Below are 17517 nucleotides of genomic sequence, written 5' to 3' on the forward strand. Positions count from 1 at the left end.
AGTCTTTTCCTTTAAAAACCAGTCTGTAAAGGCAAAATAACTGTTAACTCTTTCAAATGCACAGACACCAACATGAGGCGAAATGCATACCAAAGAATCACAAAAATGTGACACCACTAAAATAAACTGATAAAGCACCAGTAATTGACCCCAAAGAAATAAAGATCTATACATTACTGGAAAAAAAGAATTCAAATAATTATCCTAAACCTAAGTGAAATACAGAAAACACAAATAGATAACTAAAGAAAATAGAGAAATAATGCATGAACAAAGTGAAGTTTAATGAAGAAATATAAAACATAAAAAACCCAAATGTATCTGATGTCAGATTAATCTTTCAGATAACACTGGTGTAGTATCTTACAGATTCTTCAGTCAAAAAGGCCCTTGTTCAAATTCAAACGCTGATAGATGTGAACACTTAAGTCCAGGCTGAGATGGTCTCACGTGGAGATGAGTAATTTATTGGGAACTGGAGTAACAGTCACTCATGCTACGCTTTAGCAAAGAAACTGGTGGCATTTTGTCCCTGCCCTAGAGATCTATGGAACATTGAACTTGAGTTGGATGATTTAAGATATCTGATGGAAGAAATTTCTAAGCAGCAATGCATTCAAGACATGACCTAAGTTAATCTGAAGGCTTTTAGTTTTATGCATTCACAAATAGATTATTTGAAATTGGAACTTATGTTTTAAGGAAAGCAGAGCATAAAAGCTTGAAAAATTTGTAGCCTGAGGATGTAATAGAAAAGGAAAAAAAAATTGCTGGGGAGAAATTCAAGCTGGCTGCAGAAATTTGCATAAGTAACAAGGAGCCAAATGTTAATCACCAAGACAATGGGAAAAATGTTTTCAGTACATGTCAGAGGTCTCCATGGCTGCCCTTCACACCACTGTGCTCCTGGAAAAGCCACAGACACTCAATGCCCACCCATGAAAGCAGCTGGGATGGAGGCTGTCCCCTGCAAACCCACAAGGGTGGAGCTGCCCAAGACTGTGTGAACCCTTGCATCACTGAATTTCAGATTTGCATGGGGCCTGTAACCCCTTTGATTTAGCCAATTTCTCCCATTTGAAATGGGAGCATTTATCCAATGCCTGTATCCTCATAGTATCTTAGAAGGAATTAAATTGTTTTTGATTTTACAGGCTCATAGGCAGAAGGGACTTGCCTTGTATCAGATGTGACTGGACTGTGGACGTTTGGGATAATGCTGAAATTAGTTAAGATTTTGGTGAACTGATTGAAAGGCATTATTGTTTCTAAAATGTGAAGACATGAGATTTGGGAGGGGCCAGGAGTGGAATAATATGGTTTAGCTTTGTCCCCGCCCAGATCTCATCTTGAATTGTAATCCCCAGGTGTTAAGGGAAGAAACTGGTGAAAGGTGATTGGAATATGGGGGCAGTTTTTCCCATGCTGTTCTCGTGATAGTGAATTCTCATGAAATCTGATGGTTTTAAAAATGGTAGTTTTCCTGCACTCTCAAAACACTCCCTCTCATCCTGCCAATATGGAAGACATGCCTGCTTCCCCTTCTGTCATGATTGTAAGTTTTCTGAGGCTGCCCCAGCCATGTGGAACTGTGAGTCAATTTTACCTCTATCCTTTATAAATTACCCTGTCTCAGGTAGTTTTTTATAGCAGTGTGAGCATGGACTATTACAGGTACAAAAAAAAAAAATAGAAAGAATAAATAAAACCTACTATCTGAAAGCATAAGAGTGACTATAGTCAATAATAACTCTACAGTTTAAAAAATTGAGGGAGTTTAATTGTATTGTTTGGGACTCAAAAAATAAACACTTGAGCACAGGGAAACACTCCCCCATCCCCCAAAATATCATTTGACCCAGCAATTCCACTACTGGTTATTTACTAAAAAATGTTATTTTAGAGCAAACACACCTGCACCTATATGTTTATCTCAGCACTACTCACAATAATGAAGTCATAGAAACAACCCAAGTGTCTATCAGTGTTTGATTGAATAGAATATATATATACATATATATATATATACACACACACACACACACACACACACACACCATGGAATACTATATGGAATACTACGAAGCTATGAAAAGACACAATCTTGCCTTTTGCAGCATCACAGAGGGAGCTAGATGCCATTATCCTAAGTGAAATAAATCCTAAACAGATAATAAAATACTGCATGTTCCCACTTATAAATGGGAACTAAACAATGTATATTCAAAGACATAAAGACGGAAATAATAGATTCTGGTAACTACAAAATGGGGGAGGTAGAGAGGCGGATGAGGGTTGAAAAATTACTTATTGTGTACAATGGTCCTTATTTGAGTGAAAAGTACACTAGAACTACAAACCGCAGCATTATGTAAAACTTCCATGTAACAAACATACACATGTACCCTCTGAATCTAAAATAAAATAAAATAAAACATTCATGTAGACTGACCAATGGAACAGATTAGAAAGCCTGGAAAGAAACTCTCATATATACAGTAGACCCTCTTATCCATGGGGGATACTTCTAAGACCACCAGTCAATACCTGAAACCATGGATGGTACCAAACCCTATATATACACTGTTTTTTTAATCTACACATATAATGTTTAATTTAATGAATAAATTAAGTACAGTATGAGATTAACAATAAGTAATAAAATAGAACAATTATAACAATATACTGTATTAAAAGTTACATAAATGTGGTCTCTCTATCCCTTTCCCTCTCTTAAAATATCTTACTGTACCATACTCTTCTAATACTGATCGTGGTTGGCCATGGGTACCTGAAAACCTGAAACCATGGAAAGCAAAATCACAGACAAAGGGATACTACTGTATTTGATTGGCTAATTTTTGGCAAGAGCACCAAGAAAACAGAGTAGAGAAAGTAGAATCTTTTCAATAAATGATGGAAAACCTGGTTATCTGCATGCAAAATAATAAAATTGGACATTTTCTTATTATACCACATACAAAAATTACCTGAAAATAATTAAAAGCTTTAGGGTCTGATATAACAAAACTCACAGAAGAAAACAAAGAAGAAAATATTGATATTGATCTTGGTAATGATTTTTGGATATAAAAAAAAACACAGTCAAGAAATGCAGAGATAAATAAATGGAGCTAAGTTAAACTAGATCGTTTCTGCAAAGCAAACAAACAATCAACAAAATGAAAAAAGGCATCTATAGACTAGATGTACAAATTTACATGTGTACATATATACATATAGACATATACATATATGTATGCATATGTAGAGAGAAATATTAAACTTTAAAAAAGATGAAAATCTTGTCACATGTAATAACATGGATGAACCTACAAGATATTTTGCTAAGTGAAATAAGCCAGACACAGAATGCTGTATGCATTGAAGTTTAAAGAAATTAAACTCATAGAAGCAGAAAGCAGAATGGTGGTGCTAGTGGTTGTTGGCTGGGGGAAATGGAGAAATGTTGATGAAGTGGTATAGTCAGTTACAAGATGAACAACTTCTAAGATCTATTACATTGAATTGGTGGTAATGGATGGGTATCTTTATTTGATTATAGTCATCATTACACTAGGTATACATATATCAAACCATCACATTTCACACTTTGAACATACTCAATTCTTAATGTTATCCAATTGAACATTTTAAAATTTTTTAAAAAATCAAATAGCTACTAAGCAATTGAAAAGATGCTCAAAATCACTATCATTAGTGAACTGTAAATTAAGGCCACTCTGAGATACCACTTCATACCCACTAGGGTGACCATTATTATTAAAACATTTAAACAAAATAAACAGAAAATAGCAAGGGTTGGCTAGTACATGGAGGAAATGGTACTCTTGTTCATTGCTTCTGGAAATGTAAAATGGTACAACCTCTGTGGAAGAGTTTTTTTCTGTCTTTCCTCCCCATATTAGAATGAACATTAATCTAGCAATATTACTTCTGAGTGTATACCCAAAAGAGTTGAAAGCTGCTGTGACTTGAACAAGTATTTGTAATGCCATGTTAATTTCAACATTATTCACAACACCCAAACATCGAAAGGAACTCGTTTGTTTTTTGGACTGATGGACGAATGAGATGTGGTACACACACACAGGAATATTATTTAGCCTTAAATAGAATAAAATTTCAATATGCTACAGCATGGCTAAACTTTGAGGACATTATACTTAGTTAAATTAGCCAGTCACAAAAGTACAAATGTTGTATGATTCCCCTTATGTGAGGCATCTAGAGTAGTAATATTCATAGAGACAGAAAGTAGAATGATAGTTTCTTGGGGCTGCAGGGAAAGAAATGTGGAATTAGTTTTTAATTGGTATAGCATTTCAGTTGTGGAAGATAAAATAATTCTGCAGATTGATGGTGGTAATGGTTGCACGCTAATGTGAATGTACTCAATGCCATAGAACTGTGCATATAAAAATGATTAACATGGTAAATTTTACATTAAGTATATTTTACTATAATACAGAAAAGTGAAAACATGTGAATTTCCTTAAAAAATAAGAGAGATTATTAAAACATAACAACAAAAAAACCCAAGACCTAACTACATGCTATGACAAGAAACCCAATTTAAATATAAAACTTACGTTCACAAAATACCCTGAATATGAATGGTCATAAAAGCCTTATTCACAGTATCCCTGGAAACAAGTATGTTGTCTTTCAACAGGTGAATCAATAAACAAACAGTGGGACATCTACCAAATGAAATGCTACTTAGCAATAGAAATGAAGGAACTAGTGATAAGTGCAAGAGCATGGAAAAATCTTACATGCATTTTTTTTTTTTCCGAGTGGGAGAAATCGGACCCAAAAACCACAGATATTGTGTAATTTTATTTACTCTATATTTTGGAAAAGGAAAATCTATAATGCTGGAAAACAGGCTTGTTGTTTCTAGGTGTTGGAAAAAGGGACAAAGATTTAGCTATAATAAAGCCTCATAATGGGATTTCTAGGGGACAGAATTATTGTTTAATATTCTGATAGTAAATATATAACATGCATCTGTCAAAAGCCCATAAAACTTAGCACAACAAAGTATAACTTTTATTGCCAGTAAATAAAAACAAAATAAACCAGGATATTGGGAAATTTGATGATGGAATGCTAACCATAAAACAATAATGTAGGTGTATTAAGAAAGGTGTGAAAAAATCTCAATTATAAGAGTGGTGAGTTAAGATCACCCAAGTAACTTTGTAAAACAATGTGTTGTCTAGATATCATAAGGCCAAACACAATGTGCATCTTAGAGCGGATCCTGAAACAGAAAACGTTAGTAAAAAAATGCGTTTCTCACAGGTATTTAGTTCATAAATTCTAAAATTACTTTACATATATACTAATGTTTAATACATAATTTTCCTGAAGATAACAATGACCTGGTTTCTCTCTGTGAAAGAAAAGGATTACAAATAAGCAAGAAAATGATGTAGAGTGTATCCTATGCTGCTAAGTTGGAATTGGAGACTTTGGTACAAATTTATGTGCTCACATTTATTTTATCATATACACAAATAAATAAATATAGATATTTGTATACATGAATTACTACACATACATTTCTTAGCTCTGTTTACTGTAATGCCTAGAAGCAATAAAATCTAATATCAAGTCAAATGTCTAACACCCATATTCTCTAATGAAAGTAACCATGATGCCTAGGAGAAACAGCTGATTCAAGGAATGAGAAATGGGAAATATAAGATGAACTGGAATGTCTTCTAGTTCTAGAAAGTAAGAAAGTGTTAAAAAAAAAAAAACGAAAATGATGGAACATATAAAGGGACACAGGAGCCAACATAAAAGAGCTTCTATTGGCCCAAGTTGGAACAATTGGAGCAATAACAAAAAAAGAATGACAACAATTTTGGATTAATAAACCAGAGAATTTTTAAGTATCTATTGTCTTCTATTGATAAAAAATAAAATATTTCATAAATAAATAGAAAAGCAAGTACAAAACTTCCTTAAAGAAGAGTGCCAATTAACAAATTTAAAAATAATGAGAAAAATAAATAATCATTATTGTAACTCCACAGTAGTAACTGACTCAGGCAGTATCCATGGACAAATGTCAAAACCAGTAGGTGAAACTTTAAGTAGAAATATGATGTATCGCATAATCTCAAAGTATCTCCCTCCAATGTATTTGCTAATTATTGTGGTGGTTTTAAAATTTTTTGATTCTCCTCCCTCCAGTAGGTGGCACTTAATCACCTTCCCCTTAATTGAGAGTTACATTTAGTGACTCGATTCTAAAGAATAGACTATGGAATATGAAATTATTGACTTTGTAGTGAGAGATAGTTGCAGACTTCTCCTTAACGAAGTTACTAGGTTAATGTCACCAGTAATATGTCATTCTCATGCCATGCACCCTTGATAAAAAAGGGTATATTGTCTCTGTGGTATTCTTCCCCAAAACCCATAACCTCAGTCTAATAATGAGAAATGATCAAACCAACTGAAATTGAGGAACATTTTTCAGAATACCTTAGAAATACTCTTCGAGATTATGAAAGTGTTATGGTCTTGCCAATGCCCCCAAATATGTGGCAGTCTCTCATTGTCTGAGATAGTACCCAGGGTTATTTGTCTCACATCCAAGAGAATTAAAGAGCAAAGACACAAGGGTAAGGTTGGAGTAGAAGTTTAGTAAGTGAAAGAAGAAAGCTCTCTGCAGTAAAGAGTGGGGCCTGAATGGGTTGTGTACTATGAGGCTGGGGTTCGGGGTTTTCAGGGACTGGGAAGGGGAAGAAATGTGCTTTGTCTGTGGCCTGTCTTGAAGAAAGCATGATTAAATTTGGTCCGGTACCTTGGGCTAGGACCTATCAGAAGCTGAAGTGAAAGCTTGGCCTGGGATCAATCAGGAACTGAAGTGAAAGCTTGGCCCAGGACCTTGGCGGCCTGGGACCAACCAGGAGCTGAAGCAATGATTTATAGAGGCTGTGCTCACAGTCCAAAAAAAAGAAAAGTGCCCAACAGAATCTGCTGGAGCCCACTGTGTTCATGCCCACAAAAGGAGAAGAAACTTTTTCCTGGGAGCCCGCTGATTATACAAAAGACAAAGACATTTCTATGTCTGATCTTGTTCCCTTAACTGAGTAAGACAGAGGTTTGTGCAAGTTTTCATCTGAATGGGCTGGAGATTCTCCTATTGAGCAGCCATGGGCATGTCTCCAGGAACAACCCCCTGTCCTAGTTCCCTTACTGAGCTCACAGCTCAATTTTTTCCCAGGCTGCTTTTTGTATTATGTGGGGATGATGCACTGATTTGTGGGCCAGGGGCTCTCCAAAGAAACTTCCCTTGCTGTCCGCATAAGGCAAGCTAGCTAACTCCTTGCAAAAGACTATTCAAGCGTTAAGATAATAAAAAATGATTTTAAAAACCCAGAAATTTTCTCAGATCAGAATACATTGAAGAGACATGCATACTAAATGCAATGTGCATCTTAGAGTAGATTTTGAAGCAGAAAAATTATTAGTTGAAAAACTAGGGAAATTCACAAGAAGTCTGGTTTAGATACTAACATTATACTAATGTTAATTTTTTAGCTTTGATAAATACAGCATTGCTATTTAAATTATTAACATTACTAGAAGTTTGGTGAAATATGTATGGGAATACTGTACTACCTTTTCAACTCTCCTGTACATTTTAAATTATTTTAAAGGGTTAAACAACTTTACAAGGTTTTAAAAATATTTTAAAAGTTTAAAACATGATTAATGCAAATTTTGAATACTGTGTTGTAGTTAGATGCAAGGAAAACATTTGTAGAGGTATGAATGTATCTCTGAAATCTGGTGCTAAGTCAAAGAATGAGATAAAATCTGTAACAAAATATCAATTTTGTATAATAAAGTTTTATAGATATGCAATTGTAAATCAGAGCAGCCACTTTAAAAAATTAATGTAACACTTACATGCTATGTTAAAATTCACCTATCCTATAACTCAGCAATTATACTCCAGGATATGTATCTTAGAAAAATCACCATATATGTGCACCAGAAGATATTGAAACAGGAAAAGTTCCCTTGTACCCCTTGCAGGGTGAGCAATGGGGGCATGGCTCACTTCTTCAGTGCCCCACTGTTCAAACCTCTAGGGGAGCATGGAGATGGGCAGGCTGTGGGGCTCCAACCTCATGGCAGTGTCTAGGGGTTAATGTTTACAGCTGAAGCTCCAGTGGGTGTGCGTTACAGGGTGCTCTTTTAGTTTAACCATCCATAGGCGGCTTGTGTTAGTCAGCTCAATTAGACTGCTGCCTTATCTCAAGGAGAGAGGGTTTTCTGTATCCCAGGTTTCTTGCCTTGGTGTACTGAACGAATTGGATCACATGTGGGCTTGGAGAATGAGTGCAAGGTTTTATTGAGTGGAAGTAGCTCTCAGCAGGTGCGGGAGTCAGAAGGGAGATGGTTTTCCCCTGGAGTCAGGTGGCTTGGTGGCCCAGGCTCTCCTCTGACTGCCCTGGCCAAACTCCGCCTCATTCTGTGCCGAGACCGGCTAGGCTGGGGAGACCCTAACCCAGCGGTGCTAGAGGAATTAAAGACACACACAGAGAAATATAGAGCGTGGAGTGGGAAATCAGAGAACTCACAGCCTTCAGAGCTGAGAGCCCCAAACAGATTTACCCACATATTTATTGACAGCAAGTCAGTGATATGGCTTGTCCTTGAGAATTATATGGGATGCCAGTAATGTGTTTAATATTCCATATAGAGAAAAATGTAGCTAGAGCTTGGCTAGTATAGCCTGGGGCATTATCTCTTTTAATAGAAGCTGGAATGCCCATCACGGCAAAACACTGCAAAAGGTGACATTTAACATAGGCAGAAGACTCTCCTGACTGGCATGTAGCCCAGACAAAGTGAGAAAAGGTGTCCACACATACATGTACATAAGCTAGTCCCCCAAACAACGGAACATGTGTGACATCCATTTGCCAAAGAGAATTAGGTTCCAATCCTTGAGGGTTAACTCCTCCTGTAAAAGATGAAGAATACACCATTTGGCAAGTTGGGCATCACTGGATAATAGCTTTAGCTTCTTTTCAGGTAATGCTGTATCTGCGTTTGAGACCAGAGGCATTAACATGGGTTAAATTGTGAAAGTGTCTGGGGTTAGGTATTGCAGTAGCAACTAGGCAATCAGCCATTTGATTCCCTTCAGTTAAAGGCCCTGGAAGAGGTGTATGAGCCCTAATGTGAGTGACGTAAAAAGGGTGCATTCTACTCCTAACTGCTGTTTGCAATTGGGTAAATAAAGTCATCAGTTGTTCATCTGTATGAAATCGTAACTGAGTATTTTCAATTAATTGTGTGGAATGAACCACATATGAAGAATCTGATATCACATTAATAGGCATATCGAAATCAGTCAATACCTCAATTACAGCTACAAGCTTGGCTTTTTGAGCTGAAGTATAGGGCATCTGAAAAACGTTACCTTTTGAGACAGAATAAGAAGCTTTACCATTACTAGGCCCATCTGTAAAAACATTCTCAGCACCTTCAATTGGTTTAAATTTAGTTCTTTTAGGGAGAATCCAATTAGTTAATTTCAAAAATTGAAATAATTTTATTGAATAATGTAACACTGTGAAAATTTTTTTACCAGTAGGTTCAATTGCTTGCCCTACATACATCTGGCAAATTGTTGGACTGTTTAACATGCTTTGTGGTAACATTTCCCCATGAAAACACTTAGCAGGCTGCAGGTTGTTTACTGCAGGAATTGTAACTGCAAACCATTCACAGTTTTGCTCAGCTAAGGGGGTAGTAAATAAACAGTCTTTTAAATCTATAACTATTAAAGGCCAATTTTTTGGAATCATAGCAGGAGAAGGCAGTCCTGGCTTCAATGTCCCCATAGGTTGTATAACTGAATTAATGGCTCTTAAATCAGTTAACATTCCCCATTCACCCGATTTTTTCTTGATAACAAAGACTGGAGAATTCCAGGGGGAAAATGTTGGAGCTATGTGTCCTTTTTCTAATTGTTCAGTAACTAAGTCCTCTAAAGCCTCCAGTTAATCTTTCCTTAGTGGCCAACGTTCTATCCAAATTGGCTTATCTGTTAACTGTTTTGGGAAGTCAGGGACCCCAATGGAGGGACCAGCTGAAGCCATGGCAGAAGAACATAAATTGTGAAGATTTCATGGACATTTATTAGTTCCCCCAAATTAATACTTTTATAATTTCTTATGCCTGCCTTTACTGCAATTTCTGAACATAAATGGTGAAGATTTCATGGACACTTATCACTTCCCCAATCAATACCCTTGTGATTTCCTATGCCTGTCTTTACTTTAATCTCTTAATCCCATCATCTTCATAAGCTGAGGAGGATGTATGTCACCTCAGGACCCTGTGATGATTGCGTTAATTGCAGAAATTGTTTGTAGAGCATGTGTGTTTGAACAATATGAAATCTGGGCACCTTGAAAAAAGAACAGGATAACAGCAACATTCAGGGAACAAGGGAGATAACATTAAACTCTGACTGCCGGTGAGCTGGGTGGAACAGAGCCATATTTCTCTTCTTTCAAAAGCAAATGGGAGAAATATTGCTGAATTCTTTTTCTCAGCAAGGAACATCCCTGAGAAAGAGAATGCATCCCTGAGGGTAGGCCTCTGAAATGGCTGCTTCAGGGGCAGTTTTCTTATATGGTCCCAGCTGTAGGGATGAAATAAGCCCCAGTCTCCCATAGTGCTCCCAGGCTTATTAGGATGAGGAAATTCCTGCCTAATAAATTTTTGGTCAGACCTGTTGTCTGCTCTCAAACCCTGTCTCCTGATCAGATGTTATCAATGACAATGCATGCCTGAAACTTCATTAGCAATTTTAATTTCACCCCAGTCCTGTGGTCCTGTGATCTTGCCCTGCCTCCATTTGCCTTGTGATATTCTATTACCTTGTGAAGCATGTGATCTCTGGTGAACCACACCCTATTCGTACACTCCCTCCCCTTTTGAAAATCACTAATAAAAACTTGCTGGTTTTATGGCTTGGGGGGCATCACGGAACCTGCCAACATGTGATGTCTCCCCCAGACACACAGCTTTAAAATTTCTCTCTTTTGTACTCTGTTCCTTTATTTCTCAGACCAGCCAACACTTAGGGAAAATAGAAAAGAACCTATGTGAAATATCAGGGGTGAATTTCACCTGATATCTGGCTGAATTTCCCCCGATAGTTAACCATTTTAAAGGTATAGGTTCTGGAGGCTTAACAATGGCAACAATCAAAAATGATATCCTAAGCCTTGGCGGGAACTTTGTCTTTCCGTTTGAAGTGGTTCCTTCAAACCTTGCAAATTTTTTCCTAGTCACATACCAGGGACATACCCTATTTCATGCATCATATGTTGACTGTGAGGGCTGTATAATTGCTCTGGAATTAGAACGTGTGCTCCCCATTGTTGTAATAAATCTCTCCCCCATAAATTTATAGGTACAGAAGTTGTAATTGGTTGAATACTCCCAGGTTGTCCATCAGGTCCTTCACAATGCAAAATATAACTACTTTGATATACTTCAGTGGCTTTACCAACTCCAACTATGTTAAATTGAGTGGGTTGAATTGGCCACACGGATGGCCAGTGCTGTAGAGAAATGATTGAAATGGCCACTCCTGTATCTACCAAACCTTTAAATTTCTTTCCCTGAATAGTTATTTCACAGGTAGGATGTTTATCATTAATTTGATTCACCCAGTAAGCTGCTTTGCCTTGTTTATTTGTGCTTCCAAATCCTCCAGTTCTTTTAATTTAACTTTTCCACATTTCCACATATGGCACACTCAGGAGTTGTGCTATACACTCCACTCTCCTGGCTCTGCTTTACAGGGAACAGAAGTAGATATAACAATTTGAATTTCCCCATTGTAATCTGAATCAATGACTCCTGTATGCACTTGCACTCCTTTTAAATTTAAACTAGACCTGGCTAGAAGTAATCCTATTGTCCCCACTGGCAAGGGTCCACAGACCCCTGTTGGAACTTTTTGCAGGGGTTCCCCAGGCAGAAGGCTGACAGCTTTTGTGCAGCATAAATCTACTGTGGCACTACCTGCTGTGGCAGGGGACAGACATTGTACGGGGGTGAGGGAGTGGCCTGTGCCAGAAATGCCCCAGTTTGGAATGGGGCCCAGGACAGGCCCCTCATGGTGTTTCCTGAAATCGGGTTCCCATCTTTATCTAATTTAGAATGACACTGATTGGCCCAATGCTTTCCTTTTATACATTTTGGACATATTTCAGGCTCAGCAGTTTTCTTTTTTCCCCCATCTGGCAGCCTAACTCACTGATTTTTTCTACATTCTTTTTTAGTATGACCATGCTTCCCACAATTAAAACAAGCTCCAGGAAACAGAGTATTTCCTTTACCCACTCTCAGTCCTGCCATTGCCTGGGCTAGCAGAGTAGCCTTATGCAGATTACCTCCGATACCATCACAGGCCTTGATATAATCAACTAAATGTACTTTCCCTCTAATAGGTCACAGAGCAGCCTGGCACTCTGGATTAGCATTGTTGAAAGCTAATGACTGCAACACTATATCCTGAGCAGCCAAATGTGCAATCACTCTTTTAAGAGACTCCTGTAACCAAGCTATAAAATCTGTGTATGGTTCTTAGGGTCCCTGTTTTACAGCACTAAAGGAAGGGTATTGTTTTCCACCTGAAGTGGTTTTTTCCCAAGCTCTAATGCACACTCTTCTAAGCTGTTCTATGGCATCATCCTGCATGGCCACTTGTGCATCTAAACCAGCCCAGATGCTGACCCCCAAAAGTTGGTCTGCAGTTATATTAATTTGAGGTTGGGCCTGGGCATTGTGAGCAGCCTGAATGGAAGCTTCATCTGCCCACCAATTTTTAAATTGTAAGAACTGAGCAGGAGTCAGACAAGCTCGAGTAAGAGCATCCCAGTCAGTAGGAATCATCCGACTGGAAAGAGCAACATTCTTTAACAGTCCCATTACGAAAGCAGAACCTGGTCCATATTGATGAATAGCTTGTTTAAATTCTTTGAGTAATTTAAAAGGAAAAGGCTCAAATGTAGTTATAATATTTCCCTGTTGATCTGGGGGGTGTATCCTAACAGGGAACTGCCAAGCCTCTATATTACCCTTACATCTAGCTTGCTGGATTTCTGTCTGAATAGAACTGAGGGTGGTTGCTCGAGGCACTGCTCAAACAGTCACTGGGGCAACTACTTTTCACCCAGTGTCCTCTGGAAAAGAAAGATCTGGAGGGTCAGGCCACTCTTTTTCTTCAAAATAAGGAGGGGGTGCAGAAGGGTCAGGATGGACCTCTTCCTCCTTTGCCACTTTAGCTTTAGCTGGCAAACAAACCTGCTCTGTTACTTCATTATACCCTCCTTCCTCCTCATCATCAGTGTGAAAAGGTGCCAAGGTGGAATGAACCAGAGCCCACACTTGTCACATTGTTACCCTGATGCTTCCGAGCTCCCCTTCTTACTAACCATGGGGATTGCTTAAGAGTACTCGGGTGTCTTCCAGCTTAGTTCCACGTTCTCCAACTGTCACTCCAGTGACCCTTTGACCTGGGTTCGAGCCCCATGTGTGGGCACCTCTTGCCAAGACCAGCTCGGTCAGGGAGACCCTAACCCAGTGGTGCTAGAGGAATGAAAGACACACACTCAGAAATATAGCATGTGGAGTGGGAAATCAGGGGACTCACAGCCTTCAGAGCTGAGAGCCCTGAACAAAGATTTACCCACATATTTATTGACAGCAAGTCAGTGATAAACATTATTTTTATAGATTATAGATTAACTAAAAGTATTCCTTACAGGAAACAAAGGGATGGGCTGAAACAAAGGGATGGGCTCTGGCTAGTTATCTGAGCAGGAACATGTCCTTAAGGCACAGATCGCTCATGCTATTGTTTGTGGTTCAGGAACGTCTTTAAGCAGTTTTCCACCCTGGTGGGCCAGGTATTCCTTGCCCTTATTCCGGTAAACCCACAACCTTCAGCGTGGGCATCATGGCCATCACAAACATGTCACAGTGCTGCAGAGATTTGTTTATGGCCAGTGTTGGGGTCAGTTTATGGCCAGATTTGGGGGCCTGTTCCCAACAATTCTGCCAGTGAATGGTCTACCAGCATGCCAGCGTCTATCATGTGCTGTTTTGCCAGCGTGCTCGCCTCAATGTCCTCTCACCATCCAGTTGCTTATGTCTTCTTTCACTGATGTGTTCCTCTTGACATCCAGCCACTTGTGTGCCTACCTGTTAGGGACTGGGGGTTTTTATAGGCACCGGATTTTGGCATGGCAGGCCAGGGAGGTCTTGGGAAATGCAGCATTTAGGCGGAAGGGCAGGAGTGCATGCCCTCATCTAGCTCCATGGGGACAGGCCTGGGGGTGGAGCCCTTGTCAGGGACCCACCCTTCCCTTCCCAGCACTTCCCTGCCTGCCTTTCATATCAATATAATAAGAATACTTGTAGCAACATTGTTAATCATAGCAAAGTAAAAACCCACCAATAACCAAATAACAACAATAACTAAAAACAATATCAATACCCAGTGATGAGAAAGCAGAAAAATGAGATCTATTATAGCAAATACAAACAATGTAATGAAATACAGCAGTATAAGCAAGTGAATTTTAGCCATACAGCCAAACAGACACACACAACATTGCTGAATTTTAAGAACATAATGTTAAAAAAAAGGTAAGTCTCATAAGATGATATACATAATACTGTTATTTAATAAAGCACAAAACAAACAAAATAAAATAATGCATTGTTTATACATGTAGATGTGTAATAAAGCTACAGAAAAAACAAGGAAACAATGATCAGATATTTAAGGACAGTGGTTACCTCTGGGAGGTAGAAGGAGAGAGACAGTTGGCATAGGGGATGAACATAGATGTAGATACCATAATATTGGTAATGCTTAAGTTCTTCAGTTGGATGGTGAGTACACAAATGTTAATTTTATAATTATACTTCATAACTTGTATATGTGTATATTCTTTTGTAGGTATCAAATATTACATTTTAAAATTAGAATAAAAATGCATATACTCACAAAAGGTTTCATATTTTAAAAAGCAAATTAATTCAATGATACATATTATTACCTTAGAGTGGTCAAGATTGGGGCAAGAAGAACAAGATAGATAAAAAATAGGTAGATGGATAGAAGAGTGGGCCAATGTACGTGTATAAATGAATACATATATAAAACAGAAGAGAGGGTTCTTGTATGGTTCACAGTATGTGATGACTAAGGCTTATTATTAAATCAAAATCTTGCCCTCAATATCTTCTCTCAAAAAGTTATAATATTTTTAAATTAAAATATGTTTTACAGAAAGCTTTATTTTTAAAAGAATAAAGTTATTATTCAACATATTCTTCTCCTGATTTCCTTCAAAATTCTCATAAATAGAACTGTCACATGGTTCAGGCATATGATACCAGCAACTTGGGAGGCAGAGGTGAGAAGATCTCTTGAGCTCAGGAGTTTGAGGCTGCAGTAAGCTATGGTAATTTTATTTTATTTGGAAAGGTAAAAGGATTGGAGATCAAGTCACTTTTTAAAAAAATAGGAGAAAAAAACTTGGAAAAATATAAGTGTTGAAGAGCCCTAAATTATACTTTTTAATTTTATTACACTCTCTTTGAATTTGTACAGAATTACAGTCACTCATATGGGTTAATCTTATTGTGTCTTCATAGTAGTAACACTACCAGCTCATCCCAACCATAAGGTATCACTTGAATGTCTACAAAAAACACCTTTGGTTTTTGAATCAGGATGCACGGAGAACAGAATCCAGTTGATCCTTGAACAACACTGATTTTAACTGTGTGAGTCCATTTGTATGTGGATTTTTAAAAATGAAATGTGGATTGAATATATGGTATTTGTGTGGTGTGAACCCCGCATGTACATGAGGGCCAACTTTTTGTATATGCAGGTTCTTCAGGGCCAACTGCTGGACTTGAGCATGCATGAATTTGGTTATGCAGAGTCCTGGAACCAATCAATTCCCGTGTACACTGAGGAATGACTGTACTTTCACTTAGCTTATTTTAAATCTATATTTTTGAGGCCTTTGAATACTTTCATAGAAAGCTATTTGAACCACTTTGAGGTGTTACATAGAGATATCACAAATATAAATTATTCATGTTAAATTAATAGGGAAAACCACAGGCATCCATAGATATAGCTTATTTCATCATGTTGAGCAAACAGCTCCCCATTTTATTCTCCTTTCTTCCTTTTCCTTTGTCCTCCTCCCATCTCCCACCTTACTTTATTTTCTCCTTTCCCTCTCTTAAAGCAAAACAAGCACTAAAGTGGAGACTGCATATGATAACTTGAAATATCTAATGTTAAATGACGAGTTAATGGGTGCAGCACACCAACATGGTACATGTATACATATGTAACTAACCAGTACGTTGTGCACATGTACCCTAAAACTTAAAGTATAATTAAAAAAAAAGAAATTTTACAAAACTAGTTTTCATCAAGAAAGACCTAAATACGGTTTCTATTAGTTTATAGAGTTCCTAAAAAAGGCAAAGCTATTACTTGACGGTTTGAGTTCAATTTAGCAAAAACAAGCGATTGGCTGACAGAATCTCCTATTTCCAGGATGAGTTATCATTCTCTTTCCACATACATATTGTCATATATTCATCAGTTAACAATTACTAATATTTTCAGATTTTTACTAGTAGCATCATTGACACAAGGGTTGAAAATAACATAAAGCTGCCTGAACTTGAGATATATATTTACCTTAAAAACAGAGAAGTTATTAGTACTTGGAGCTTGGATACAGTTTTTATAGGAAAAGTAATATACTTTCTTTCCATTGATATTCTCTTCACCCAGTTTTTTCTACTATGCATACAGATTCATTTGCACACATGTGTACATAATATACATGATTAATAGAATATTAGACAGTCAAAATACACTCTTTGTTAACTAAAGATAAGACACTTTTAGTGAGCAAGATAGTTTCAAAGATGCAGATCTTTTGCATATTGTAAATAAAAGTGAAGATTATTAGAATTTAAAATCTAGGTTATATTTAGATTTGGAGTGAAAACTGTATATTTAACATATATGGTACTGTCAATATATATCCAGTTAATGAATAAATATTGTATATATATATATATATATATGTATATATACTTCACGGGTTATAAATAGAAAAGAAGCTTATTGAGTATGTTCAATGACCAAGAAAGTACTTATTTTAAAGGAAGGTTGTCCACAGTGGCCAAGAAATAATTTCTTCCTAGTAATACTAATGAGAAAATAACAAGTAGCAAGTAGAAAAAAAGTGCCTGTTAATTAGGACACAATAATTATTTTCTGGATGAGTAAACAGATGAGATAAACATTGAAAGATGACTAGATTGAGGAGTTAGAAAATATGTTATTCAAAGAGTGACCACTAACTATTTGCACGT

The sequence above is a fragment of the Homo sapiens genome, chromosome X, assembly GCF_000001405.40.
Source record: "Homo sapiens chromosome X, GRCh38.p14 Primary Assembly".
NCBI lineage: Eukaryota > Metazoa > Chordata > Mammalia > Primates > Hominidae > Homo > Homo sapiens.